The sequence below is a fragment of the Homo sapiens genome, chromosome 9 (assembly GCF_000001405.40).
Source record: "Homo sapiens chromosome 9, GRCh38.p14 Primary Assembly".
NCBI lineage: Eukaryota > Metazoa > Chordata > Mammalia > Primates > Hominidae > Homo > Homo sapiens.
In genome coordinates this window covers 90950537-90977917 of record NC_000009.12, presented here as the reverse complement: position 1 = coordinate 90977917, position 27381 = coordinate 90950537, and the positions used below count along the sequence as shown (strand labels likewise).

Genomic DNA, 27381 nt, shown 5'->3' with positions numbered 1-27381 from the left:
TGTGCTCTGACCCTGTTCTCCTCTGGAGCCTGGGGTGGGAATCTCTGTTTCACCTATCACTCAGCCCGCAGGCTGGGGCAGAAGGCACCACTGCTTGGACCAGCCACCCTGATGTGATGAGTAATGTTATGTGTCAATTTGACGGGGCTAAGTGATGCCCAAATATCTGGTAAACATTATTTATAGGCGTGTCTGAAAGTGTTTTGGGAAGAGATTTACATGTGAATTGGTAGATTAAGTAAAGAGGATATCTTCACCAAGGTGGGCTAGTCTCATCCAATCCATAGAGGGCCTGAGTAGGACGAAAAGGCAGAGGAAGGGCTTCTTGAGCTGGAACATCCATCTTCTCCTGCCCTCAGGCCCTGGTGCTACTGGTTCTTGTGCTCTTGGACTTGGACTGAAGCTAACATCATTGGTTCCCCTGGTTCTCAGGCCTTTGGACTTGAACTGAATCCCACCACTGAACTCTAATGCTGGCTTTCCTCGTTCTCCAGCCTCCAGGAGGGAGATTGTGGGATTTCTTGGCCTCCATAATCATGCAAGCCAATTCTTACAATATGAGATTTATAAAAACCTATCCCCCATCTCCAACAGGAGGTATCTCCTATCAGTTCTGCTCCTCTGGAGAACCCTGGCTAGTTCACCCGGCTACGACTCCCTGCTCCACCGCCTTGCTCTTAGGGTCACTGCTCTGCCCTCCCCTTCCTCCCCCTGCCCCTGAATGTTTAGGCTGCTGTTGTCTCTACTTTTGTTTCTTCAGCAACGTGGTTCTTTTCTCCTTTCTATTCGACAGGAATTGCTGTTGTTTCCTGGCTTCCTGATGGTCCTGTTTTTTACCTTCTGCTGCTTTTTACGGATTTATTTTTTGTAAGTAACTCTTGTTATCTCAGAGATTCTGGGGGTGCACGGAATTAAGTGAGTGAGTGTAATTGGCTGTTTTGATCCAATGTTTTTCAACCTTCACTTCCTTAGAGAGTTTTTGTCCTACTCTGGTGTCAACTCTCACCCTCCAGATCAATGTTCCCACCATCGTCTCAGTCTTCAGGAGTCCCCAAAATAAATGAGAGCTCTTCCTCCCTCTGTGGCACTCCAGCAGGCCCGCAGCATCCTTGCTCCTTTAGAAGCCCTCTTGGGGGCTTCACTGCTCTGTTTTGACACCTCCAGCGGCTCCCACTGTCCACTGGTCACATCCTTGGTCTAGAAAATGTGAAAGGAAGAGACAAAGAGGCTCCTTGGGCAGAAGAGGTGGGAAAGAAATGTGACTTTCCCAACACACTTGTCAATAAATTTTTTTTTTCCTCAAGGATATTAGTGAAAATGTTTTTTACCAGCCCTGAGAACTTAAAAAAGAAATTATTCTTTAGGTCAAATGGGCTTTATCTAAGAATAGAGGTAGGGTGCTAATTGACTTGAGATCTGAAATTGATCCGTAAGAGAAAGGTAGAAACCACGTTACAGGTGTGAGTGAGAGCTCGTTGGGGCGCAGGGAAGTCTGTTTCTGTCTGGTTGCTGCAGGGAAGCCGGTGGCAGGCGACAGTTAGACCCTGGCAGGCAGGCATGTCTCAGCTCACATGGGACGCATTTGAGCCCGGGTTCCCCTATAATTAGGAATCCCAGATGCTGCGGTCCCGGCCTGGCCCACCGCAGGCAGAGTTCCTGTGTGCCTCCCCCTGAGGATATTTTAGACGTGGGGTTTTGATTTTATTTTTGCATGAGATTCACCTTGGATGGAAACCCCAGGGTTGATTGATGGCCCACACCACGCTGCCTTTTTTATCCCTTCGCCTGAGATGCAGGCCCAGGCTGTGGCTTCAGTCAACGGCAGCAGGACGCCAGCTGAGATGGCTGCGGAATCCCACAGACAGGGCCTGATTTCCGGCAGATGTCCCAGATACCAGGCAGGAGAGCCCACCACAAAAATGGTTGCGTAAAAAAATGTCTGCCCAGTGTGACCTGCCAGCAACAGGATGATAGCACACAGCTCGGAGCCTGGAGAGGTGCAGGCAGATCTCTGAGTTCACCCCCAGGAACATCACTTCATCCAGGCTGGCCCTGGCCTGTCTGATGGGGCCAATTCTCAGATTCCCTGCGAGTTCTGGCCACCAAAATGAAGAAAGCAAGCTGTGGCCGGAAGCTCCCTCCTCTGTCTGGTGCCAAGTTTGATGTTGAGAGCAGGAATCGCAGATGACATTGGAGTCTGTAGCCTTCAAATGCACCAGCAACTGTTCACTGTACGCCCCATGCTCTGCATTCATTAACCAGTTCCTTCAACACATGCTGGTCAGCGGGGGCCATGAGCCAGGCGGGTCCCAGGGCAGCGACGCAATGGGGAGTGCAAGACAAGATCTCTGCTCTTGGGAGCGCAAACTTTAGGGGTAGGGAGTGGGCACCTCTCAATACACAGATAAGTGAGTTTACTATGTAGGACATCAGATGGTGTCACATGCTCTGAAAAACAGTGGAGGGAGAGGGAGTCGTGATAAGGGAAGGTGCAAATTCAGCATGTTGCTCAGAGAAGGCTGAGAAGGTGGCACCTGTGCATAATAAGGGGGCGAAGCAGCCGGGTGCTCTTGGGGGATTGATGCTCCTTCCATCCTTCACACAGCCCTTGTTGTATGAGGGACTGAGGCTTTGCAGATGGGGAAGCCAGGTGGAGGGGCTCAGGCCCTGCGGCTTGGAGACTGTGGGTGGGATTTGAGCCTAGGTCTCCCTGGTCCTGGAGCCTGTTGTGAGAAGACACAGGAAGACAATTGCTCTGAAAATAGAAAGAACCATTGACAGATGTGTGGGATTTGTGATTGTGATGCAAGATGTTTACTCCAGAGATACATCAAGTCGAGGCAATCCCCAGGCCAGGCCCCGCTCTCAGGGCCTCAGTTCACTGCCTGCTGCCTCTCCTGCGTACTTTCCCCCCCTCCCGCGTTCTCTCATTCCTGCTGCCCATGGCCTGTCTGCGTCCTCCTCTTCTCACTCTGCTCTCTCTCCCCTGGCTGTGGCTGCCTGTTCCTGTCTCTCATCTCTCTTCGCTCCCATTTGGCCAGCCTGTTTCTCAAGCACCTGAGTCTTTCCCCTTTGGGCATTGCCTCATTGGCACACTCACCCTTTTTAGTGGTGCCCACTCCACAGCTACATTTGTGAAATGGGCTGCCGTGGTTCTCCCAGAAAAGCCACAAGGCTGTGATGGTGCAAGACAGGCTGGCAGGGGTGCAGGCTAGAGGACTGAATAAGCGATGGATCTGTCAATCCAAGGCACTTAATAGAAGATTGGATTCCCATTAAGGGAGCAGATGAAAGACAGAAAGACAGAAGGACACAGCCCCTCTCACCTTCACCTAAGAGAGGGATAAATGTCAGCTGAGAGAACGTGGGTAAAGGTGACAAACGCTCCCTTCACTGATCAGCAGCTGTGTGACCTTGGTCAGCTCACCAAACCTCTCTGTGCTTTAGAGCACCGAGAAGGAATAAAACCTGCCCTGTGTTTACCTTGCCTCCCTGGAAGATTTGTGATGAGAATAAAGTCTAAAAATACTTTGAAAAATACACCGCACCCTACAAGCTCCATCATAACTGGTGTTTCCAGAAATGCAAACATATTTCCTGCCTAACTCAGCCGTGTTTCTGATCTCTTGTAGCTTGACTGATTCGTACCTTTTTGAGCAATGGGAACCTTTGGTGGTGTAAAGCCTAGAAAAGACTCGCAACAATATTAAAAAATGTGTATGACACACATGGTATGTCGGAAGAAACCCAACCATATCTGTGTTTGCAACAACTGCAGTGTACCATGAAGATGACTGGAGTTCTATGGCAACAACATTGCAAGCACTGCTAAACCCACTGTGGTTTCTTGCCTACATTCCTAGCCAAAGTCAACACTAAATTTCTGTTAGAGGTGATGAAAATAAAAGTTTATTTTTCCCCATCTATGCTCATATAGTCCTCCCCCAAATTCCATCTATGGACTTTTGGGAGATCCATGGACCCCAGGTTAGGAATGTTAGAATTAGATGCATTATTTCTTTATAGGTATAGATAAGGAAAAGATTAGAAGGATCAACTGATCTGGCCATTAACTAGTTCAAATACTAAGGAGTAAAATGAAATAAAAGTTTTATGTTTTTACCAGAGATATTTTTGGTTTTGTTTTTAAGTTATTTGCAGAGGAAACGCCTCTAGCTATAAGAGTAAGTGCAGGCTTACTTCTAAAAATAAAAGGAGGGCCGGGAGTGGTGGCTCAAGCCTGTAATCCCATCACTTTGGGAGCCGAGGTGGGCGGATCACCTGAGGTCAGGAGTTTGAGACCAGCCTGGCCAACATGGTGAAACCTTGTCTCTACTAAAAATATGAAAATTAGGCCAGGTGCGGTGGCTCATGCCTGTAATCCTAGCACTTTGGGAGGCAGAGGCGGGTGGATTGCCTGAGCTCCGGAGTTCCAGACCAGCCTGGGCAATACGGTGAAACCCCGTCTCTACTAAAATACAAAAAATTAGCCAGGTGTGGTGGCATGCACCTATAATCCCAGCTACTCGGGAGGCTGAGGCTGGAGAATTGCTAGAACCCGGGAGGCGGAGGTTGCAGTGAGCTGAGATGGCCTCACTGCACACTAGCCTGGGTGACAGAGCGAGACTCCATCTCTAAAAAAACAAAAAACAAACAAACAAAAAAACTGAAAAGTAGCTGAGCATGGTGGCATGTGCCCGTAGTCCTAGCTACTCGAGAGGGTGAGGTGGGAGGGTCACTTGAGCCCTGGAGGCAGAGGTTGCAGTGAGCCAAGATTGTGTCACTGCACTCCAGCGTTGGCGACAGAGTAAGACTATCTAAAAAAAAAAAAAAGAAAAGAAATGAAAGAAGAATGCATGCTGCTACTTTCATATGATAGCTGACTTCCTAAAGGGATTTTTCCATGCCCATCTGAAGAGGTAGAATGATCTGTTTAACGAAGTGGGGACAGAGTCAAGCACTTCCCTGGAACAGGGCGGGGGCTGGGGATGTAAGGTTGTGTCTGTCCATTTATTGAAAAATGTGCCACGTGCTTAGGCAGACAACTTGCTTGGCATTTCTTTCTTTCTTTCTTTCTTTTTTTTTTTTTGAGACGGAGTCTTGCTCTGTCGCCCATGCTGGAGTGCAGTAGCACGATCTTGGCTCATGGCAAGCTCCACCTCCCGGGTTCACGCCGTTCTCCTGGCTTGGCATTTCTATAGCAGTTGTGTGAAATGTGATTCTTCCTTTCTCACTTCTCACCCCTATAATTTTCATTTGCTTATGAGACTTTTTGAGGTCTAGCTACCCCTGTGCTCAGACAAGTGGCCTACATATGTTCAGTTAAAGGGGGACCCAGTTGCCCAGAGACAAGCCCTCCGACCAGAGGGAGCCACAGTTCCTGGGTGGGCTCATGAGTAATGCAGCTTTGTGTCCTGCTCTGCCCCTCCAGAGCTTGGAGACCACCCCAGCTCCCTTTCTGCTACTGGTTCCAGTTTCTTTTTTCCTGTGGGTCATAAGCTTTCTACCGCTCATGAAACAAAAGGGGTAAAAAGGTTTCTGGCTGTCAGTTTTTCATTTTTTTCTGGTGAGACAGTTTCATAGTTGCCATAGGTGGGGGGTGGAAACTAGCCTTGTTGGTGATGCTAGTTCTGCTTTTCTTTTTTCTTTTTTAACTACGAAAGAACTTGATTTCTGATTCTTGGTAGCAGAGCCTTTCTGCCTGAATGGCAGGCGTGGCCAGGACTCTCATCTATGCTTGCACCTGTAAGACAGGACACCAGGATCCCCAGCCTTGTGAGGCAGTGCCACCCTTGGGGATTAAGAACACGGGTGCCGGGGTGCCATCTGTCTTGGATCTGCGGGCTGAATGGGTCTGGGTGCAGCCAGGTGTGTGGAATCTCACAGCCTCACAGTGACTGCAGCACAGCCAAAGGCGAGGACAGCTGCTTGCTGTATCATTTCTTCCATCACACCTCAGAGGATGCGGAATCCTATTCCCACTCTATTCCCCTTTACAACATCCGATGTCAGCGCCTTCTGAGCACTTTGAATCCCGAGACTGCCTACGTAAATCTGGAGATGGGACTAAACCATAAATATTGATTACTTTTTTAATCACCTATTAACTAGATTCAACCACTCCTAAAAACCTAGCTGCATTCTCAGAGTTGATTTGATCAGCTCAGTTAGAGGGCACATATGTCCACACTGTGGGGCAGCCATTGTGTGATTGTTTCTTTGGCCACCCTTCTCAGCCAGCTCTTCACCCTCCTGATAAGAAAGTGCTGGAAGGCACAGGGCTGGAGCTGACCCACAGTGAGGCCTGCTGGCCGTCAGCCTCTCTGGAGGCCTTTGAAGCAGGCCCAGAGTGGTTTAGATTGGCCATGGGCACCAGAGCATTTAAAGGGACTCTGCCGCTTATCTTCCTCCTCCTCTTCTGAGCAAGATTGCAATATTCCTGCAGATAATTTTGCATTTTCCATGCCCATCTTCTTGAAGAATTGTCATAAGATGGAGGTAGCCTGGGCTGTCCCCAACCTGCTCTGCCATCCCTGTGGCAGGTTGTCTGGCTGTGCCTCAGTTTCCTCACCTTTCCACGTTGGTCAGGCTGGTCTCAAACTCCCAACCTCAGGTGATCTTCCTGCCTTGGCCTGCCAGCGTGCTGGGATTATATGCATGAGCCACCACACCTGGCCTTCATTCTTTACTGACTAAAGTAACCATGAATAAAAAATGCATATAAGCCACCTGTCCCATAGCAGGTACTTAATACACGGTAGCTATGGTTATTTTGTGTAGGTCTGAGTGAACATAGACCACGTTTCCCATCAAAATATATGGGGACAATCAAACAAATAACAGAATCCCCCAAGGAAGCATCCAAGTGTAATTCGATTTCTAGCGTTCACTGTTTATGTGAATGAACTCTTGTAATGCAGCGCCAGGCCTTTCTTAGCTACTAGAAAAAAATGACTTCTGTATTTCTAGGGTAAGGGATGCCGCTTTACACCCGGGTTGAGACTTGCCAGGCCTCTTATGTGTCGAGAACAATGGGGCTGGAAGGAGGCTGGCTGGGGTAGGAGCAGGCTGCAGCAAGTCCTTCCCAAAGCCGCAGGCGTTTCTCCACTCAGCACTGAGGCCATCACATGTGGCTGCCTGTGGACATCAGCAGGGCCAACGAAGTGAGTCAGGTGTTGAGGGATGTGTGTGTCATGCCATCATAAAGCCAGGATCAAGACATCTGCCCTCCCGGGATGAAGAGCAGTGTTATCCCTTAATGCAAAGCTCAGGCTCAGTGGTCCTCTTTCACGTATTTACCTTCCTAAAATTTCACCAGGTGCATAATAGCACAATTAATAGCGCTGCCTCGTATCCCTAATACTAACACCCTCTGCCTTGTAAGGATTTGTGAGTCAGCTATAAAATTTCACTGAAGATTGTTTTGCCCAAGCTTGATTTCCTTCATGCCCATAAGCTCTTAGACACCACTTTCTGTTTTTCTATTTTCAGACTGAATTGAACAAAAATATTTAACTTTTACTCAGTGCTAAGTCTTTGCTTTCACTTTAAAATACATGATCTTTTCCAAACCATACACATATATTTTAATGGGTTGTTACTAGTTCATACTTGATCCATATTTTGTAGCTGAAAAAGTCCAAAGGCTGGAAGGTTTGGTTTCCAGAGCCCTGGACATCCTTGGAGGCAAATGCAAGCCCACTGTAATGAAGCAAGAAGGGAGTCTGGCTGTACTGGGTGCAGCCTGGTGCTGAGGCCTGGCCCTTTGATTTCTATGTGTGGGAATGCTCAAGTTGTAACTACTCTAAGTGGAAATTAGGAAAATGGGGACCCTGGGGGGATGGTGATCCAAGTTGCCAATTGTCCTTTAGGACTGTCATTGTTTTTTCTCACATTCTTGTCTTAGATTCTGCAGATGTGGTGATGTGGCGGGAGTAGTTAATAGCAGTAGTCATGGTATTTAACATCTGTGAAATCATACACACTTGGTAACCTTATGTTGATTCCACACCACACCATCTAATCACCATTTTCTCTTTCCTTTTTTCCTTCTCTCTTTCTCCCTCCCTCCTTTTTTCCTTTTCTTCTTCTATTCCCTGTTTTTTAAAGGCAATGTTGACATCATGATGGTCAGTAAAAAACAAACATTTACTCCAGCTTAAACAGCCCACCAAATAAGAATCCTTGAGTTCTGATTAAGTTCTGTATCTTACTCATTTACAAAATAAGAATGACAAAACTCCTCTCGGGGGTGTTATGGGCATTAGACAGATATTAGGGATGATGGTTAATTACAAGCAAGGCTGCTCCTATGGCCAGGAATAAAAACGCTTGTACCTACTTAACAGGCTGGCATGATTCATGTCTGGTGAGTTCACCCTTTGATTCAGGTGCCAGGTGTGATCAGCTCTTTCATATACATTATCCAATTAGTGGGATGAGCCTCTCGGCTGGCAAGTTCTGCTGGCTGCTCACTGCAGGCTCTTCAGGGTTGTCATGGAGACCATTGGAGCAGATGCCTTAAGCTGGCTGAGGTGTTTCTGAAAGATGGGAATCCCGGCTGGGGGACCCCAGATTCTAAACGAGGGCCATGTGACCTGAAGAAGATAACCCCCAAATCCCAGACTCCTACAAAGCCAGAGTGTCTAGCCAACATCGCAATAGTCAAGCATGCCACCACATGGCTCACAGGGAGAAGGCGTTCTGAACTCCCCCGGCTCATCTCTGGGTGTCTAACTGCACGCGGAAGCCAGGTGCTGGCTGCTGTGTTCCCAAGAGGCTCAGCCTAAGCTAGGAAGGCCAAAGTCAACTGAGGTAGGGCTTGGTGGGAAGTCTGTACCCTCTTTGGGGCAGCATTGGAAGAATGAATTGACTCAGACTTTCCAGTTGCACCTCAAGCCAATGTGGTGGGTGAGGCTGGCCCTAGAGGTGGACCCAGTAAGCACTGGAGAGTCAGCACAGGAGGCTTCTGGAGGTCCCCAGGGTCTCCTTTGCCACAATTGACACAAATCTGTTGATCAGACTGGCAAACCAGGCTCTTATAGAGTATGTCCTTCCTGGTAATGGTAATGGTTAGGACCCTTTTTTGAGTTTCTATTAAGTGCCAGGCACTGTGCTTCACCTACATTCTTTCACTTTACCCGCACGTTAACCCTAGGCAGCAAGTAATAGGGTATCTAATTTTTAGGTGAAGAAACTGAGGCCCCCACATAGCTATTGGCAGAGCTGGGATTTGAACCCAGTTGTATCTGGCTCTAAAGACTAACAGACTGTTACAGAGAACCAATGACCAAGAAACAGTGGACATTCAGTCCACAGCATTTGTTTCTTACAATCTTGCTCATTTAGAGACATCACTTATGCAAAGGGTAGAGAAAAAAAGATAACATTGTGGGTGGCACCAGCCAGTTAGTGTGGTTGCTGTGGCAACTTGTATCCCTGGTCCATAACAAGTGCTACCCCATAGCAATTCCCATGATCTCTGCTTCTTCATGGGAAACCAAGAAGATAAATGTATTAGTGCAGGACAGAGATAGCCAACTGTTCCCAACATCCATTCATCTTTTCTTCCTTTTAGGAATAGAAACCCTCAGAATTTTAATTGCATGCCTAGACTTTCATCTAGAGACTGCATTTCCTAGACTCCTTTGCTGCTAGACATGTCCATGTGACCAAGTTTGGGCCAATGAGATGAGAAAAGAAGCGATGTGTGCCTTAGGAAAAAAGGGAAATGTCCACTACTTCCTCCCCCTGACCCCTCAATCTAGGAAATTGGAGTAGTTGCCTGGAACCCAGAAATAGAAGCCATGTGTTGAAAGTGGCAGAGTAGTCACACTGGCCCAGGCTGTTTGCCTTTGTCGTCTTGTATTTGAGGGAAATAAATGTATTTCTGCCACTGTATTTTCAGGCCTTTGTTATAGCCATGCAGCCTATATCCCAACTCATGTAGTCCAATGGTGAAAGGTGACCTAAAATGGATCATTACTATAAGAGAATTCCCATTGTTTCCCTGCCTCCCCACTCAATGTTAAAACACTGAATATCTTTCAATGTCTGACTCCATGTGAGGGGCCTTTCTTTACAAAGCCCAGTTAATCAGGGCCAGGTGGATTCACTAAATGCATCCACGAAAGAGCAGATTAAGGAGATTGCAGAAGCAATGCAGGGTATGGCACTGACTTCTCTGTTAACAAGCCAGGGTGCTTGTTTGACTCTCATTTAAAAGATAAAGCCCAATCTTCATTTTTATCTTAAATAATCACTGGGAAGAAATTGTATGCATCTAGGACATACCTGGAATAAATAATAAATGGGCTTTCTTCATTTGATCTAGAGAACACAGAAGGCAGAAAGAAAAAAAAAACACGTGAAGAGAAACATAAAGCAACTTTTCTTTGAAATGTAAATGGAAGTGTGTGTGGCCTGGTAGAAGCAGCTCTGGGCGGGGGCGGGGGGTCTGGAAACCCAGGTTCCAACTCCTACTCAGAGCCTCACAATGTGTAAAAGGAGAAAGGGAGGGTCCTAAGTCCCTTCCCACGTCACCATGGTCAGATTCTGGGGAAGCTCGCATTTTCCAAAGCTGACGTCAACATCTCCCATCTCACGAGCTCTTCTACAATATGGGCCTTCCCTTCCCTTCCCACAAGAGTAGGGGAGACTAAAGCCCTTCCCTTAGATCTGGCCTAGCTGTCATGACACATGGCTCCCCAGGTCAAAGGAGGCCATGTAGCTTTTACGTGGGGACCTGGAAATCATAGTCTTCAGAAGCTTTCTGTCTGGGTCATGCTGTGAGAAGCTGGAGGCATGGGAAAGGCTGCATGCAGGTTCTCTGGTGCATGGTCCCAAGGAGCCCAGCCTCATGCAGGAGAGCAGCTTCTAGATGATTCCAGCCCCAGGCATTGGAGTCTTACCAGCTGAGGCCCAAGCATCATGGAGAAGAGGTCACGTCCCCCATAACCACTCCCAATGCCATCTCTGCCCCACAGAATCTGTGAGCGTGGGCTATTTTGTACCACTAAGTTTGTGCCCGTTATCCCGCAGTAATAACTGGAACAGAATTGAATATCCTTCCCGCGGTGCACACTTACAGAGTGAAATGTAAAGCACATCTTGAAAAACATGTCTTAGTTATTAGTCATCTGGAAAGTTCCTCGTTATAATATGGGTGTGGAAAGATCAGCCCACATGTAGATGTTTCGTGGGTGAAAGAAAAGTCATCGAACAGTAAGATCAAAAGGGCCCCTTTGGATGAATGCAGACACTCAGCGCCGTGGGGTCGGGTGGCACGCTTGTTCTGTGCTCACTATCCCAGTTCTTAAAACAACCACAGTCCCGTCACAGGCCAGAGACCAGGGCGTGAAAACGGATGCAGATCCCGCAGGCTGCAGCTACTGCTGCGGCTCCTCTCACAGGCCTGGCTGGGCCTCGGGACCCTCCAGAGCCCAAAGGGTGAGTGTAGCCATTTGGTGATTCCTGGATTCTGCCCTCACTCCCTAAGGATTGATGAAAATCTCAACTCCCAATATGTTGTCTGCTTTTTAATTTTGGCTCTGTTTTGTTTTCCTTAGGATAGATTTGAATCGTTAGGTGGGCAAATCTTCCCATGGAGAAAGTAGAAATAGGGTGTGCTGGGTTCCCTGGGGCAGCAGTTCACAACAAAATTTGTTCTGTTGTTTTAACTAGGGATTTGCTTATAATTCAACCCCTTTTGACATTTTGCTGTTTATTCAACAAAGCAAGCTCGTAAGTCATGTGGCTCGTAAGTCAAAGCAAGCTCTGAGTGAGTGGCTTCCTTCCCTTGGAGCTGCCTGTCTGGTGACCACCTCTGCCAGGTTTCCACTTCCATGAACTCTGTGTGTCTCCTTCCTGATTTTCCATATGCAAATGCAAGAAACGTAGTACCATTTCCTTTATTTTCCCTTTTGTACACAAAGGGTGACATTCCCTGCCTCTGTTTCTAAGGATGTATTGAACCATAAACTTCAGGCTATTATTAAAATGAAACCACTCTGAATGGTAATGTGATTGTGATGGTTAATGTGTGTGTCACCTTGGCTAGGCTATGGTATGCTCAGCTGTTTGATCAGCACCAGCCTACATGTTGCAGTGAAGGTGTTTTCTAGATGTGATTAACATTTAAAGCAGAGACTGTGAGTAAAGAAGTTGACCTTCCCTAATGAGGGTGGGCCTTATCCAATCAGTTGAAGGCCTTCCAAGCAAAGACTGAGGTTTCCCAAAGGAGAAGGAATTCCACCTTAAGGATGTAACACAGGAACCCTGCCTGAGTTTTCAGTCTGCCAGCTTTCCCTGCAGAGATCAAGTTTAAGAAGGCAAAATCAACACGCTTACATTTCCAGCCTGCTGGAACCAACTAGGCCCCCTGGCAGGCCCTCCTTCCAGGCTCCACAATCACAGGAACTCATTCCTTAAAAGGAAATCTCTCTCTCTCTAAATACAGACATACACATGCATCCTATCGGTCTGTTTCTCTGGAGAGCCCTCATACAGTAGTTACATCTTTATTCTTAGGAGGCGCCTGCTGAGGAATGCAAGGGTGAGTTGTTTTGACGTCTGTAACTAGCTTCCAACCGGTTCCACGAGAGAAAGCGGGCGGAGGCAGAGAAATCACAACATGCTACGAAGCGCTGGATCCAGGTGACATGTCGCAGTGTTTGTTGTCTTCCAACTTTTCAGCGTGTGAAAACATTTTCACAAGAACGGAGGCATCACTTCCCCACCTGCATCTCTACTTAGGGTCTTGCATGCGGGGAAAGGGGCCAGCACAGTCCGTGGGTCTCCCAGGCAGTCCGTAGGTCCCGTCCTGAGCACCGCAGCATCAAGAACAGGCTGGGGTGAAAAGGAAAGTAGCGTTCTAGGAAAGCCCCAGGCCTGCTGGTGCTGAGGATGCAACCGGTGGGGTTCTTTTCTCCCAGGCACCATGGCCCTGCCAGGAGGACCCCTTGGGGGAGTGTGAGCAGAAAGGGGGCGGGCTGGATTTTGTTGCTCTCCCTTAGACCAAGGTCACACCCAGCTCAAGAAGGTCAGGCTCGGGACCTCTCCCTGTCAATCCAGCCTCCGCCAGCGTTTTCTAAACCTGTCTCTTCTTCCCTTCCCCCGACTGACTCACCCTCCACGCAGCCTACAGAAGGCGGGTTGGGGGGCGGAGGCCGTGGGGACGGGAGACCGGATGTGTCTGGGAAAGGGAGATGAAGGGGTCGTTCCGTCCCCTGGGAGATGATGGCTTGTGCCAGGCTCCTGTCCGCCCAATACTTCCAGCTGCATCTTACGTCTAGTCTTTTCTGGAGGGTCCGAACACCAATCTTTTCATCTCTTCCTGCAGAGCTAGCTCACTAGGGAGACAACTGTGTAATTAGAAGCAGGCGCACAAAACAGGAAGGGAGAGCCTAAGTTTGAAGAGCAATCTTTGCTGAGTGTGTGCATGAGGGTGTGAAAGTGGCCGACTGTTTACACACCACCAGGGGCAGTGGCGTGTGAAGGAGGTGGCTCCTGGTGACGGCCTCAGTCTGGGAGCTAGGCGGTAAGCTGACAGCGGCGGTGTGTTGCCACCCTTGGGCAGCGGCTCTCTAAAGCCTGCAGTTCTGCCATGAGAGCCTTAAGCACACCACTTCCCCTTCCTGAGCCTCAGTTTCCTTATCTGTAATGTGGTAATTACACTTTTGCCTATCCTAGGATTATTATGAGTCATGATTTTGAAGCCCTCAGTAGAAAACCCGCCCCACTCCTAAGCACCCAGTCAGTGTTATCTGGGTTGTTTTTTAAAGAACAAAACATTTTGTGTCTGGAGAATTGTTACTCTTAAGATAAATAAAGATGGAATTGGGCTCTGCCAAGAACAGCAATATGCATTTTTAGATACTTGTGAAAATTAGACAAGCAAGGTTTAAGTAAAATACGGAGATTTCGTTTAACAAAATACCAATTTCTAAATGACAAAAAAAATGAGATGGAACTCTGGTCATGAATTTGCTAACCAGAGTCTACAGATTGTAGCCATTGTAGCCAATATGGAAAACCTTTATTGCTTTTTTTTTTTTTTCTGCAATGACTACGTTGGACAAAGCAGTTGTCTCTGAGTGTGAATGTAGCTGAGAGAAATGATAAGACATCAAACTTTTGTCTGCAACTGCTCCTAGTTATAGATTTTTTTTTTTTTTTTTTTTTTTTTTTTGCTATTTCCTTTATTTGCTATTTGGCTGCTTGGACCAGCTAGAATTGGAAAATTGGTGTCTTTCTTCAAAGAAATTCAGTTCCCTCTCGGTTACCATACTTATGTGGTTCCTCCTCTTCTGTGCTCATTCTGGTGATTCATGAAAATAGGTAAAAGAGATGTGTTAATATTTATAGGTATATGAAAACCTGAATAGCTGTGATCAACTGAAATGAGTGCGATGGTTTCCTAAATGGAATTGGAGAAACACCCTCAGTGGCCTCTTTGAAAGAACCTTAAAAAGACACAGATACCCCAGCTTTCCCTACAGAGGCACTATTGGGAAGGGGCAAGCCCAGTATACTGGTTTGTTTTCAAACTGCTAATAAAGACATATTCAAGACTGGGTAATGTATAAAGAAAAAGAGATTTAATGGATCCACAGTTCACATGGCTGGGGAGGCCTCACAATCATGGTGGAAGGCAAAAGAGGAGAAAGGCATGTCTTACATGGAGGCAGGCAAGAGAGCATGTGCAGGGGAACTGCCCTTTATAAAACCATCGGATTGCATAAGACTTATTCACTATCACGAGAACAGCATGGGAAAAACCACTCCCATGATTCAATTATCTCCCACCACGTCCCTCCCATGACAAGTGGGGGTTATGGGAGCTACAATTCAAGATGAGATTTGGGTGGGGACACAGCCAAACCATATCACCCAGGAAAGGAGGGTTTCACCACGTGGCTGTGCCATTCTAGAACAGAGGGCCTGTTTCTCTCTACGATGCAAGTACCAGTGCCTCTGAGGATAGAAGAAAACAAATGGTTAATACCCAGGGACACTAACCAATGAAGGGGAGACAAGACATCTTTGAGTAAGAGGGCAAGATGGAGAGCACCTTCCAGCATCAGCAGCTGGGCCCTGCTCTCAGAGCTGCTTAGGGCAGCTGCTCTGAGAAAGAAATGATAGCTGCTATGATCTAAATGTTTGTGTCAATCCAAAATTCACAGGTTGAAATCCTAACCCCTAAGGTGAGGGTATGAGAAGGTGGGGCCTTTGGAAGGTGATTGGGTCACCAAGGTAGAACCCTCATGAATGGGATTTGTGCCCTTATACAAGAGGCCCAAGAGACACTGCTCACCTTTTCTGCTATGAGGGGACACAACAAGAAGATGTCTGTCTATGAGCCAGGAAGTGGGCCCTTCCCTGACACTGGATCTGCTGGCATTTTGATCTTGAACTTTCAGCCTCCAAAACTGTGAGAAATAAACTTCTGTTGTTTATAAGCCACCTACCCAGGTTATGGCATTTTGTCACAGCAGCCTGAATTGACGGAGACAACAGCTGACGCAGGTGGAGAATGCAGGCTGGTTCTTGTGCATTGTGTCTGGATAAGGCTGTGTATGCAGAAGGCATGCCAGGAGTTCCATGTGGGAAAAGCGTGGCCGCTGGGACCCCAGGCTCCTCTTCACCTCCTTCTGGTCACCTTTTCTACCCTCCCCTGGTGATTCTGTAGTAATTAAGCACCAACTGGGGAAAGTGGTAGTGGGTCTATTCTGGGACTGTGAGGAGCAGGAGAGACAGCAGCCTCACTGAGAGAGTTGGGGACAGATAGGGGATTTGCTTTCTGAAACGGGGTTCCAGAGAGGCAGCACCCCATTGTGTGATGCGCATGGATAGAGTGAGGTACAAAATCTGTTTTTTCCCTGGCTTTTTCACACTTGAATCAGTCATGAGTGGCTTGTGACAGAGGTTGCAGAGAAAAATTTAAACAACAATTTCATCCAAGGTAAAGCAAATCCCCAAATCTGTAGGATGATGGGCAAGGGACAATAGTTTAAGAAGTCCATGAAGTAGCAGCAAGGATGGAAAGGAAGAACAGTGTGCAAGCTCAAGCCCTCTGGGAGTGTGCAGCCTAGGGGATGGCCCACCCAGACACCCAAGGCCAGGGAAGGGTGCGTCCTGAGAAAGTGCCCATGTTCACGGGGTCCGTGTGAAAGGAGAGAAAGCAGCCCCTTTAAACAAACACATGACCTGCTTTGTATTGTGCTGTGTCAGCGACGACAACCCAGACGACCTGGCTTCCAGCCAGCTGTCTACGTGGGGCAGCTCCCAGCTCTCCTGCTGGGACCATCATGCCCAGAACCTGCAAAGCGGGTGCTTGGGGCCGCATGGTCATGCTGTCGGCAGAAACGCTCCAGGGCCAAGTGTGCTCTTGTTTCAAAATTTGGCTCTTAGAAAAACTATGTGACTCAGCAGGATCCAGACAGAGAAAGTCATCATTGCCCTACTTGTAGATGGGCAAGGCACAGAGGTGTTTGCCAAAGTCAATTTTGTGGGTCCATGAAAATGACCAGCAGATCTTCTCATGATTGTAGACATGCCTTAAAGGCAAAGAGTGGAGTCCCCCTCCTTAAAACTTCCTTAGGGTAATGTCTGCCACCTCTCCTCTTGTGTGTTTTGGGTGGTACTCAGGCGCACACATGGGCCCCATTTCACGGGTGAACATGGAAGAAAGGACATCTGAGGAAAGGACATGGTTACTGTGGTTGCAAAATGCCACAAGCTCAGTGGCATAAAACAACACAAATGCATCATTTCACAACTCCACCGAGAATCCAGGTCACATGGGCCCTTTGCTTAGTGTTTCACAGGCTGAAATTGTGAGGTGGCAGATCTCTGCTCCCTCGATAGCTGTGGCCTAGGGGGCACTCTCCGCTCCTAGAGCCACCCCATGGGTAATTTACAACATGCTTCTTCCTCCTTTACCCAGCCCAGCAGGAATGCCTCTGTCTGGCTTTCTCCTGTGCAGTCAGCTGGGGAAAATTCTGTGCATTTAAAGACCTCACATAATGGGATCAAACCCAGCCAGGACCGTCTCCCTGTTGCCCACCGTGGTCACAGGAATGATGTGCTGTCAAGTCCCCAGGGGACCTGTGCTTAGGGGAGGAGATTTCACAGGCAAGCACACCAGGGTTGAGGGCCTTGGGGTCCACCTTAGAATCCTGCCTACTACAGGTGCCTGATGCAGGAACAGGGTTTCAGCCATCATTCCCTCAGCTATGATGGCGCTGTTCTATCTTTTTATCCAGTATACCTGGGTTCAGCTGTTTGCACCTCCAAACATCCAATCACTGTTTTCACATTTTTGAGTTTTATGGAATGTGGACAAACTGGAGATCTTTTGTGCTCAGAAAACATTTCAAATTTCTGCACATCACCTGGCCCTGTGTTTATGTGGGGCTTTGCTCTGTCACATTCTAGAAAGCTCTGAGCCCCTGTGTCAGTTGCCGGCCCACCTGACTCATGGTCCTGCTCCTCCTCACAGCAGGGTGTGGACTCAACAGACCCAGAGTTCCCTCCTGGGACCCTCCTTGGGCCCCAGAGGTCCCCATTGTTTCTGCAAGGGTAAGGGTGGATTGACCCACAGTCTCATTTCTCAGTGATGGAGTAGGGAGAGAAGCCTGCCCCACATGGGTTTAAAGACATGATGGGAGCCCAGGCATGGTGCCTCATGCCTGTAACACCAGCACTTTGGAAGGCTGACGTGAGGATCATTTGAACCTAGGGGTTTGAGACCAGCACGGGCAATATGGTGAGACCTCATCTCTACAAAAAACAGGAAAAAATTAGCTGGGTGTGGTGCTGCACACCTGTAGTCCCCACTACTTGGGAGGGTGAGGCAGGAGGATCACTTGAGACCAGAAGGTCGAGGCTGCAGTGAGCTGTGATAGCACCACTGCACTCCTGCCTGGGTGACAGAGAGAAATCCTGTCTAATAAAAAAAAGAAAGAAAGAAAGAGAAAGAAAGGAAAGAAAGAAAGAAAGAAAGAAAGAAAGAAAGGACATTTTGAGGATTTAATATGTTTCCAACTAGTCCTTAGCCATGAGTTTTTCTCCAGCCTCTGAAAGAACACTTAATAAACACTGTATTGATTAACTATAATTTGTTCCAATTCCATAAACTATACATAGAATCAGATGTCTTTTTTTTTTTTGAGGAGTCTCACTCTGTCACCCAGTCTGGAGTACAGTGGTGTGATCTCGGTTCACTGCAACTTCCACCTGCCGAGTTCAAGCAATTCTCCTGCCTCAGCCTCCTGAGTAGCTGGGACTACTAGCACATGCCACCATGCCTGGCTAAGTTTTTGTATTTTTAGTAGAGATGGGGTTTCACCATATTGGCCAGGCTGGTCTCGATCTCCTGACCTTAAGATCCACCCACCTTGGCTTCCCAAAGTGCTGGGATTACAGGCGTGAACCACCACACCCGGCCCAGATGTCTCTCTTGTAAAAGGGAGTGCTCTGGAGCTGACATAGAAAGATTCTTCTTTTGGACTTTATGGCAGCTACGGAGTCCAACGTTTGCTATGCCAGCATACCAACTTTATCCTCAGTCTAACATTTTACCTGAAATAGATTCTTCCTCTATAATCTTATAAAGAAAATTTTATATCACTACTGAAGGCGTAGGTTTGCTATACCAGTTCTATTGTTTATAATATGCTCTAAAATAGATATACAGTTCTTAGGGTATAATATTTGTCAGTGTAACATCTGAAACATTTTGGGAAACCTTACTTTAATATGAAGAATAGATTGGTTTCAGCAAATTTCACTAGGAAAACCCCATATAGTTGTATTTCCTTTGCTATATCTAGGGCAATTTGTTTAGAAAGTATTCCAGTGAAAGTTATTCTCGTGGAAGAATAAGGTCATACTGACCTTGGGTTCCTTCCCAGCTCCTAGCATTTCCCTCCTTGCCGAGCAGAATTGGAACTAGGTATTTTCAAGAGACCCATACTGTGACACTGACAAGAGATGTGCACTTGAGGCCCACTGATGTTCCTGATGTAAAGGCTGTCTCTGTTGTTGAGGAAATGGGCCTTTTACACACTGAGCTATCATGCAGGTGATTGGGAGTTTCATTGCTGATTGAAGATCTGGGTCCTTTGTGCTGTGTAATACATTCCCAGCCCTTGACCCCCTGACTTGCCTCTGTTACTGTCAGCCCTTGCCTTTCCCCAGGCTGGTGTGGGGACTGCCTCCTCCCTTGTCTAGTAGGACACCTGCTTGGCATGTCCACTCTCAGGTCTCCCTGAGGCTGCTCACAGGTGCTGGGGGTGGTGCAGTTCCTGCCTGGTGGGGCTGGCAGGGTGTCCATGTGGACGATAAGAACTGGGCCCAAGGGCATTAGCTGAATGCCTCCAAGGAGGAGAGGAGGCCTCTGTAGGTTTGAGCAATGACTGTGCTGACAGCAAACACAAACCTCCTCTAGGTGCCTCAGTCCTCTCAAGAATTCATACTCACTGTTTTGTTTAGAAGGCAAAAATGCCAACCAGGTCAAGGTTCCGGGACACCACCCACTTTCTTTTTTGAGCTGAGAATGTCACTGTGTTTGTAGCCCAGGTGAGCCCCACCCTACCTCCCAAACATGTGTCAGGGTTGAATGTACGTTCTCTGTCTTCTAAATTGTTGTAAGTTGGAATGACTTGTGGTCCTGCTAGGTGGGTATCGTGTACGTGTAGTGTTTTAGTGTGGAAGGAGCGCTCAGGCCACATCTCCCTTCCTTCAGCAGGCACAAACACCTGGTCAGCTAAGCGGGGGTGGGGGCTCTGCACACAGCCAACTCTCCACCCCTCTACCCCTCCGTTTAGTCAGGTCAACGGGGGTAAGCTGCGGGAGCTCTCTGTGCCTGTTTCCTTGTCTGTAAAGTGGGAGAGGTAAGGTAGCTAGCTTAGCACAGGGTATTTTGTCAATATCAAATGTGTGAAACGGAGAACAGGGCTTCCTTGGTGTGTAGTCAGTAAAATGCTAGTAAAAACATACTGGCTAGTCTGCTGAGATACAATTTTACCCAATACACAGTTTTAGCCTGAAGTTTTTTGGGTCCCAGAACTTCCTACTTCATCTCTCAAAACATCTTGGATTTTCCCTTTTGGAGTTCCAAACTTGAAAAGATTATAATTTGCCATTCCTCAAATCCCTGTTTCACTTTGCTTAAATTAAAAAACAAAAACTTTTACCTCCACTTTGGCAAACCCTTGTGGGAAATGATATAAAGGTTAATGGAAGTTATTTGCGGACAAGTTGGCTTGGAGTAATTGTAAGGAGGACCAGGAGCCCTGCAGAATGGAACTTTAGCGATATTAAGTTGGTGCAAAAGTAATTGTGGTTTCCGCGTTGTTGGAATTTGCCATTTGATACTGGAATACATTCTTAAATAAATGTGGTTATGTTATACATCATTTTATTGTGCAGTTCTCACTTTTTTTTTTGCTAATGACTTATTCTTCGCTGTTTATTTTATGTTTATTTTAGACTATGGAAATGATGTTAGACAAAAAGCCAATTCGAGTGATTTTCTTTTTTGAGTTCAAAATGGATCATAAAGCAGCAGAGACAACTTGCAACGTCAACAATGCATTTGGCTCAGGAACTACTAATGAATGTACAGTGCAGTGGTGGTTCAAAAAGTTTTGCAAAGGAGACGAGAACCTTGAAGCTGAGGAGCATAGTGGCCGGCCATTGGCAGTTGACAAGGGCCAGTTGAGAGCAACCATCAAAGCTGATCCTCCTACAGCTACATGAGAAGTTGCCGAAGAACTCAACATCAACCATTCTACAGTTGTTCAGCATTAGCAGCAAATTGGAAGTGACAAAGCTTGATAAGCAAAAATTTAAAAAATCATTGTTTTAAAGTGTTGTCTCCCCTTATTCTATGCAACAATGAACCATTTTTTGGTTGGATTGTGACGTGCAACAAAAAATGGATTTTACACAATGACCAGCAATGACCAGCTCTGTGGTTGGACCAAGAAGAAGCTCCAAGGCACTTCCCAAAGTCAAACTTGCACCAAAAAAACGTCATGGTCATTGTTTGGTGGTCGGCTGCCAGTCTGATCCACTACAGCTTTCTGAATCCTGGTGAAACCATTAAATCTGGGAAGTCTGCTCAGCAAATCGATGAGATGCACCAAAAACTGCAACATCTGCAGCTGGCATTGGTCAACAGAAAGAGCCCAATTCTCCATGACAATGCCTGACCGCACATTTCACAACCAACCCTTCAAAAGTTGAACAAATTGGGCCACGAAGTTTTGCCTCATCCACTATGTTTACCTGACCTCTTGACAACTGAATTACCACTTCTTCAAGCATCTTAACAACTTTTTGCAGGGAAAATGCTTCCACAACCAGCAGGATGCAGAAAATGCTTTCCAAGAGTTCTTTGAATTCCAAAGCACGATTTGTATGGTACAGGAATAAACAAACTTATTTCTTGTTGGCAAAAATGTGTTGATTGTAATGGGTCCTGTTTCTGATTAATAAGGATTTGTTTGAGCCTAGTTATAATGATTTAAAATTCATGGCCCGAAACTGCGATTACTTTTCCACTAACCTGGCAAAAACCTGGCTCTGGGCATGTTGTTCTCATGGCAAAGGGCAGGGCCAGACCTCTTCACTGCTGCTTCTTGGGTTGGTGGTAATGACATTGGAATGTCTGTATCCCCAGGGTCCAGCACTCACTGGTCTCTTGCACTGCATAAGCACTTACTCCTGGAAAGCTCACCCAGGACCATGGCTTCTGTTCCCTCTACAGCTGATGGCTTCTGAGTGCAGGCCTCAAACTCATATCCTCTGGTCACCCTCAGCTCCACTCGGGTAATTCGAGAACATCAGAAACCGCACAAGCCCCAACCAGACTCAGCATTCATGGTCTGCACCCTGCCCTCCCAGTCCGGGAATGGCATCATCCTTCGAAAGGTTGCTCGCCTCCAAAATAGAAATTGCTCCTGATTCTCCTCTACCTTGGAAACAGTTCCAGAATACAGCTACCTCTTGTCGATCTGGGCCACACTCAGGTCTCAGCCACCCAGCCTATCACCTGTCTCCTCAAGTCTCCTTTTGGTCCCCTTTGGTGTTTCTCTGTGCAGCAGGCAGAGTGAGCTTCCAAATATATGATTTATACTCCAGACACACCAGTGGTTTCTCATATCACAGTTAAACTCTGAATTCCTTGTTGTGAGGTAGACCCTCTATGATTTGTCCCGTGTGGTCAGATCTCATTGCTGCCCGGTTGTCCGTCCTGTGCTCAGCTCTGCCCTCACTGGCCATGTGGCGACAGGTCCAGAATCCTCATGCCCCTGTCTGGACTTCTTTTCCCCAAGCTCTTTGCAAGGGGAGGCCTTCTGCAACCCGTCATCAGAAAGAGCATCACCGTTGCTCTTGTCTTCCTACCTGCTTTACTTTCTTCATCTCCATGATTATTCTCTGAAGCTACATGACTGATTATCTTGTTGTCATTTCTTCCCCACTGTAACAGAAGCCCCAGAAAACCAGGCATATCGTCTTGTTTACTTCTGTAACTCTAGCCCCTGAAAGTATGGCTAGCAGAGTAGGGACTCTGTAAGTATATTTTGAATGAACAAATAAATGAATTGATAAATATATTTTGTATGAATGAATGGCACATTCTAGTACCAATAAGGACACTGTAGTCAATTCTGTTGATTAATCAAAGTCTATGAAATGTCAAAAATGAGACATTTCAGATTTCATTGTTCATACTGTCTGTAGTATCTGCCTTTGGTAAAAAAAAAAAAAAAAAGAAAAAAAAAAAGAAAAAAAGAAAAGAAGCCCATGATCAAGAGTATGAAAAAACCTCTGGAACTGTAGAATTGACCTTTGAGTACAATTCATTACTCTGTAAGAGGAGCTGCCCCGAGAGTGATATTCTACAGGCTTGACCTGCAGGCAATCCCCACCCTGATGGGGTAGCTGGATCTGCCATCACTGTGTCTGTTTGGAATGAAGACAGATTTTGCCAAGACAGTTCCATTTTAATACCCCATTAATCCCAGGCTTGACATACAGAAATTATTGTATATCTGCTGAGAATTAAGGACATTCACATATCAAAGTGATTCTGTGGAGACCTGGTCAGTATGGTGATAGGATCCAAGGTTGTGCTCTGCACTTTCGCTTATGGGATGTTTTCTGCACACCTCCCAGCAGATTAGAATCTCTTGAGATCAGGTCCCACCACACGACACCTCTTCTTTCTGAAGACTCCTCTCCCCTTCCCCTTCAGAATAGTCTCATCAATCTGTAAAGATGCATCTCCTGGCCCACTGTCATTCTTTACAACACGACTACTTTCTTAATGTTTGCTGATTTCAGTGCCATAGAGCAGAGCTTTCAGATTACACTGCCTCCCTCCACACCAGTTCTGGGCCTCCTTCCTTTCAATGTTCCTATTCTCCACTCCACCTCAGCACTCTCTGCCAGGGTAATACTATGATCATGATTACTCATGTTGTTACTAGGAATTGTCCAGCAATCCTGCCACAGTTGCCATTTCCAGCACCCTGCTCTCCTAGCGTCCCCCTCTCATCTTCCCAGCTCACTTGCACCTGTGTGTCTGCTGTTATGATTCTCCAGCCTCAATGGACTCTCCCATTCACTGCCTCCTTCATGCCTCAGTTGAATAACCCATTACGATCACACCTTTACATGCATCGTTAACTCACGCAACTCACCTGTTTTGTTGCATGCCTGTCTCTGGAAAGAGCCCTGAGCTGGATGAATCCCATTTTCCCAGGACTGGCATTTTGGCTGGTTCTTGGTAGTACAGCCATAGTCCGTCCTGGCTGGCCAATGCCTGTGCTGTCACAGCCAGCATTGCTGGATGCTCTGAAGTTCACCAGGGAACTTTCCACCACTCTGCACTGCATTCATGCACCTGCTGGTGGCAGGAAAAATAACCTCCAGTATGCTACTGGCCTCACTTTAATTTCATAGTATCAAATGGGTCCTCGCTGTTTCCTGCCATCACTTCACGTTTCCTGGCCAAATTAATCTCATGTCCCACATGATCATTTCATGACTCCTGTCTTTACACCTCCAAAACTTCCTCTCTGTCTTCTCTCTCAGCCAATCACCTTGCTTCCTATTTCACTGGGGGAAAGAAATGAAAGGAGTAATCACAGCAAACTTCCACCACAGAAATCAACATGCTCCCTGTCCATTCTTATCTAGAAAAACCTTTCCTCTTGTTTGCTAGATCCTATGCTTTCTAGCATTTTGCTCTAGAAAATTTTCCCTTCTCCTGCATAATAAAAATTTCCCACAACAGTGAGACATTAACATCAGCATAACAGTGCACTTTAATGTTTATCATTTAAAATAAAAACAACAACAGCAACAGCAAATTTTTGACTTCACAGCCATCTCCAGCTACAACCCATGCTGGGTGTGTATTTTCTATGTTTTCCCGTGTACTCCAGGACATGGTTGCCTAGGAGCTACATTTCCCCAAATCTCTGCTAGAGGGCTCTGGTTTAGATGCCAGCAGTTAGAGGCACTCTCAAGGTACATGGAAGGGAGAGGAACATGGAGTGTTCTTTTAGAAGCAAGTAGTTCCGAAGCCTCAGACCTTTGCAAGCCTCTGGGCCTTTGCAAGTTTTCTTTCCTCGGCAGGGAGCCTTTTCTCCCCCAGAGAGACACACTTCTCACCCATTTACATCTTTACTCAGATGTATCCTTCTCTATTAGGCCTTCCTAACCGCCTTATTCAAACCCACTATGCACATTTTAGTTCCTTTCCTAATTTATTTTCTCCTCTAACACTAACACTGCATGACCTACTACGTAAATACAGTACTTATTTATTTCCTTCACTAGGATGCACACTCCACAGAGACAGGCGTTTCAACCTGTTTTATGTACTGCTAGAATAATGCCTGACATAGAATAGGTATGCAATGTATTTGTTCATTGATCAAATGCATGAATATAGCACATTATTCCAGGCCCTGAAATTTCTTCTGAGCACTTCTTTAGGGATAACCCATAGGTTCTGGTTTGTCAAGCTTTTATCATGGTCATAGTCTACATTCTGCTATTTGGTTTTAGTTTTCTTTTTGAGTTAGGAGTTGGTTAAGATATGGGTTAAGAATGTCCAGATCGGCCAGGCACGGTGGCTCACGCCTGTAATCCCAGCACTTTTGGAGGCCGAGGCAGGCGGATCACGAGGTCGGGAGATCGAGACCATCCTGGCTAACATGGTGAAACCCCTTCTCTGCTGAAAATACAAAATATTGGCCGGGTGTGGTGGCAGGCACCTGTAGTCCCAGCTACTTGGGAGGCTGAGGCAGGAGAATGGCGTGAACCCGGGAGGTGGTGAGCTTGCAGTGAGCCGAGATTGCACCACTGCACTCCAGCCTGGGCGACAGAGCAAGACTCTGTCTCAAAAAAAAAAAAAAAAAAAAGAATGTCCAGATCATAGGGATTGTTTGCTTGCTTGTGTGTTTGCTTTGGCAGTTTTCAAATATGGCTTGTTTTTCTGATGCCAAAATCACACCAGTTTTTTAAGTACCTGAGCAAACTGTGTTATATAGTAAAGCACATCTCACATTCTGTTTCCTGCCCAGTTGCATAGGGATGGGTGGGCTGGAAGCTCAGACACACCACTTCCCCTGAGAGGCCTTCTCCCAGGTTTCTGATGCCTTCCCTCCCTATGTCTTCTGACATCCCTTTTGACCTTGCTCTTAGCCATTCTCCCTCTTATGTCAGAGTTTGCGGGTTTAACCATCTTTAGGCTCATCAGAGATGCAGTTTTCATTTCTGTTCCCTATATTCCTTGTTGCCATTGGGTGATTTGCCAGAAAGAAATATCGTTGGGCAAAATAGCCAAGAAATTAAGGAAAGGAAGAAAACAAAGATTTTGTGCTATCATGTTAAAACCAGATATTGTGAAGTTTAGACTACATTTGGAATAACTTGTTTTAGTGTACAGTTGATCCCCTCTACCTTATTGGACCCCCACATCTATCCTAGTCCTTCACAAACAACCTGAAGACAGATTAGATGTATTCATTGATGTCTTTCTTACAGCCACTATTTGTTAGTAGGAATGGATTTGCAAATACATCACAGAGACTGAGTGCTTCCTCCTAGATAGCGCTTCCTCCTTCTTCACTTGAAGCAGTTCCCATTAGGAGAATTATTGTACTTGCTAAGGCTACATAAACCTGATGGATAAATTTAATCAAGAAGTGATGAATTGAGGTGAATAAGGCCAAATGGCAATTTTTCTATGAAACTCCCATTTATAATTAAAACAAAAGTATAAGAATGGTTATAATTGGCCAGGCGTGGTGCCTCACGCCTGTAATCCCAGCACTTTGGGAGGCCGAGGTGGGCGGATCACGAGGTCAGGAGATCGAGACCATCCTGGCTAACACGGAGAAACCCCGTCTCTACTAAAAATACAAAAAATTAGCTGGGCGTGGCGGCAGGCACCTGTAGTTCCAGCTACTTGGGAGGCTGAGGGAGGAGAATGGTGTGAACCCGGGAGGCAGAGCTTGCAATTAGCCAAGATTGCGCCACTGCACTCCAGCCTGGGCGACAGAGTTGAGACTCTGTCTAAAAAAAAAAAAAAAAAAAAAAAAGAATGGTTATAATTATAACCTGAAATATAATTAAATATACATTCAATATATGTCAATATTTTAAGTAATTACGATTGCAGCACTTATAAGTTTATTTTACATTCTTAGAGGATAGCATCATTGTATTCAAAGTACATAGAACCTGGCACATAATAGGTGCTCAATAAATGCTTATTAAGTGCATAAATATAAGAATACATATAATCTGACTTATATCTAGTAGCATTTCATCATTTCATGTGTTTGATTTGCAAACCTACCTCTGCACAGTTCCATAGGGTACAATTTTCTGGAGTGTTTGTAAGGACACTGGGGCCACCTATGCCTTCATGCTTATCTTATTATTCTAGTCTCAATTTCATCTCCCTGACTTTTCTAATTAATATGGGGAAGGGCTTCCCCAGGGAATTTTGTTTCTGATTGTTGAGAGACAGTAGAATTCTTGACTAACAGTGGCTTCGTGTTTTCACTCAATGTTTTCTGCCTTCTTGCCTCACAGATAATTGAAGAAAATCCCTTAAGTAAACACAGCAGGAAGCTTCATCCTAACCATTGTCACGAGACTATTTTTTCCTAATAGACATCAACATTTATTTTTGTTATTCTTATTGGCCTTATTTATTGACACCAATTGTGTCTCTTTCTAAGGATTAGTAATCCTTACCAAATATCACACGGACTTTCTTACCTAAAACCAGCTCCCAGTATTTAAAAACAAAACAGAACACTTTCTTCCTTAGATATTAGATCAACA

General features: G+C 46.3%; 1 long non-coding RNA gene across 2 annotated transcripts in view, besides 1 other annotated feature; it reads left to right on the top strand.

The window, feature by feature from the left end:
• Window positions 1189-1689: an enhancer, noted in NCBI's record as "H3K4me1 hESC enhancer chr9:93738511-93739011 (GRCh37/hg19 assembly coordinates)". NCBI's record gives its function as "activates a minimal SCP1, AML or CMV promoter by ChIP-STARR-seq in naive H9 embryonic stem cells {active_cell/tissue: H9 hESC(naive)}" and the evidence as "EXISTENCE:reporter gene assay evidence [ECO:0000049][PMID:30033119]".
• LOC105379829 (uncharacterized) overlaps window positions 12521-27381 on the top strand; it is a 38060-nt gene continuing 23199 nt past the window's right edge. The window contains exons 1-2 of one of the 2 annotated variants that reach the window (XR_007061656.1): window positions 12521-12654; window positions 20494-22623. This is a non-coding gene — a long non-coding RNA (uncharacterized LOC105379829). Of the gene's footprint in view, window positions 12655-20493; window positions 22624-27381 lie in introns of those variants that run through there. The other variant, XR_001746828.2, reaches the window with a different exon arrangement.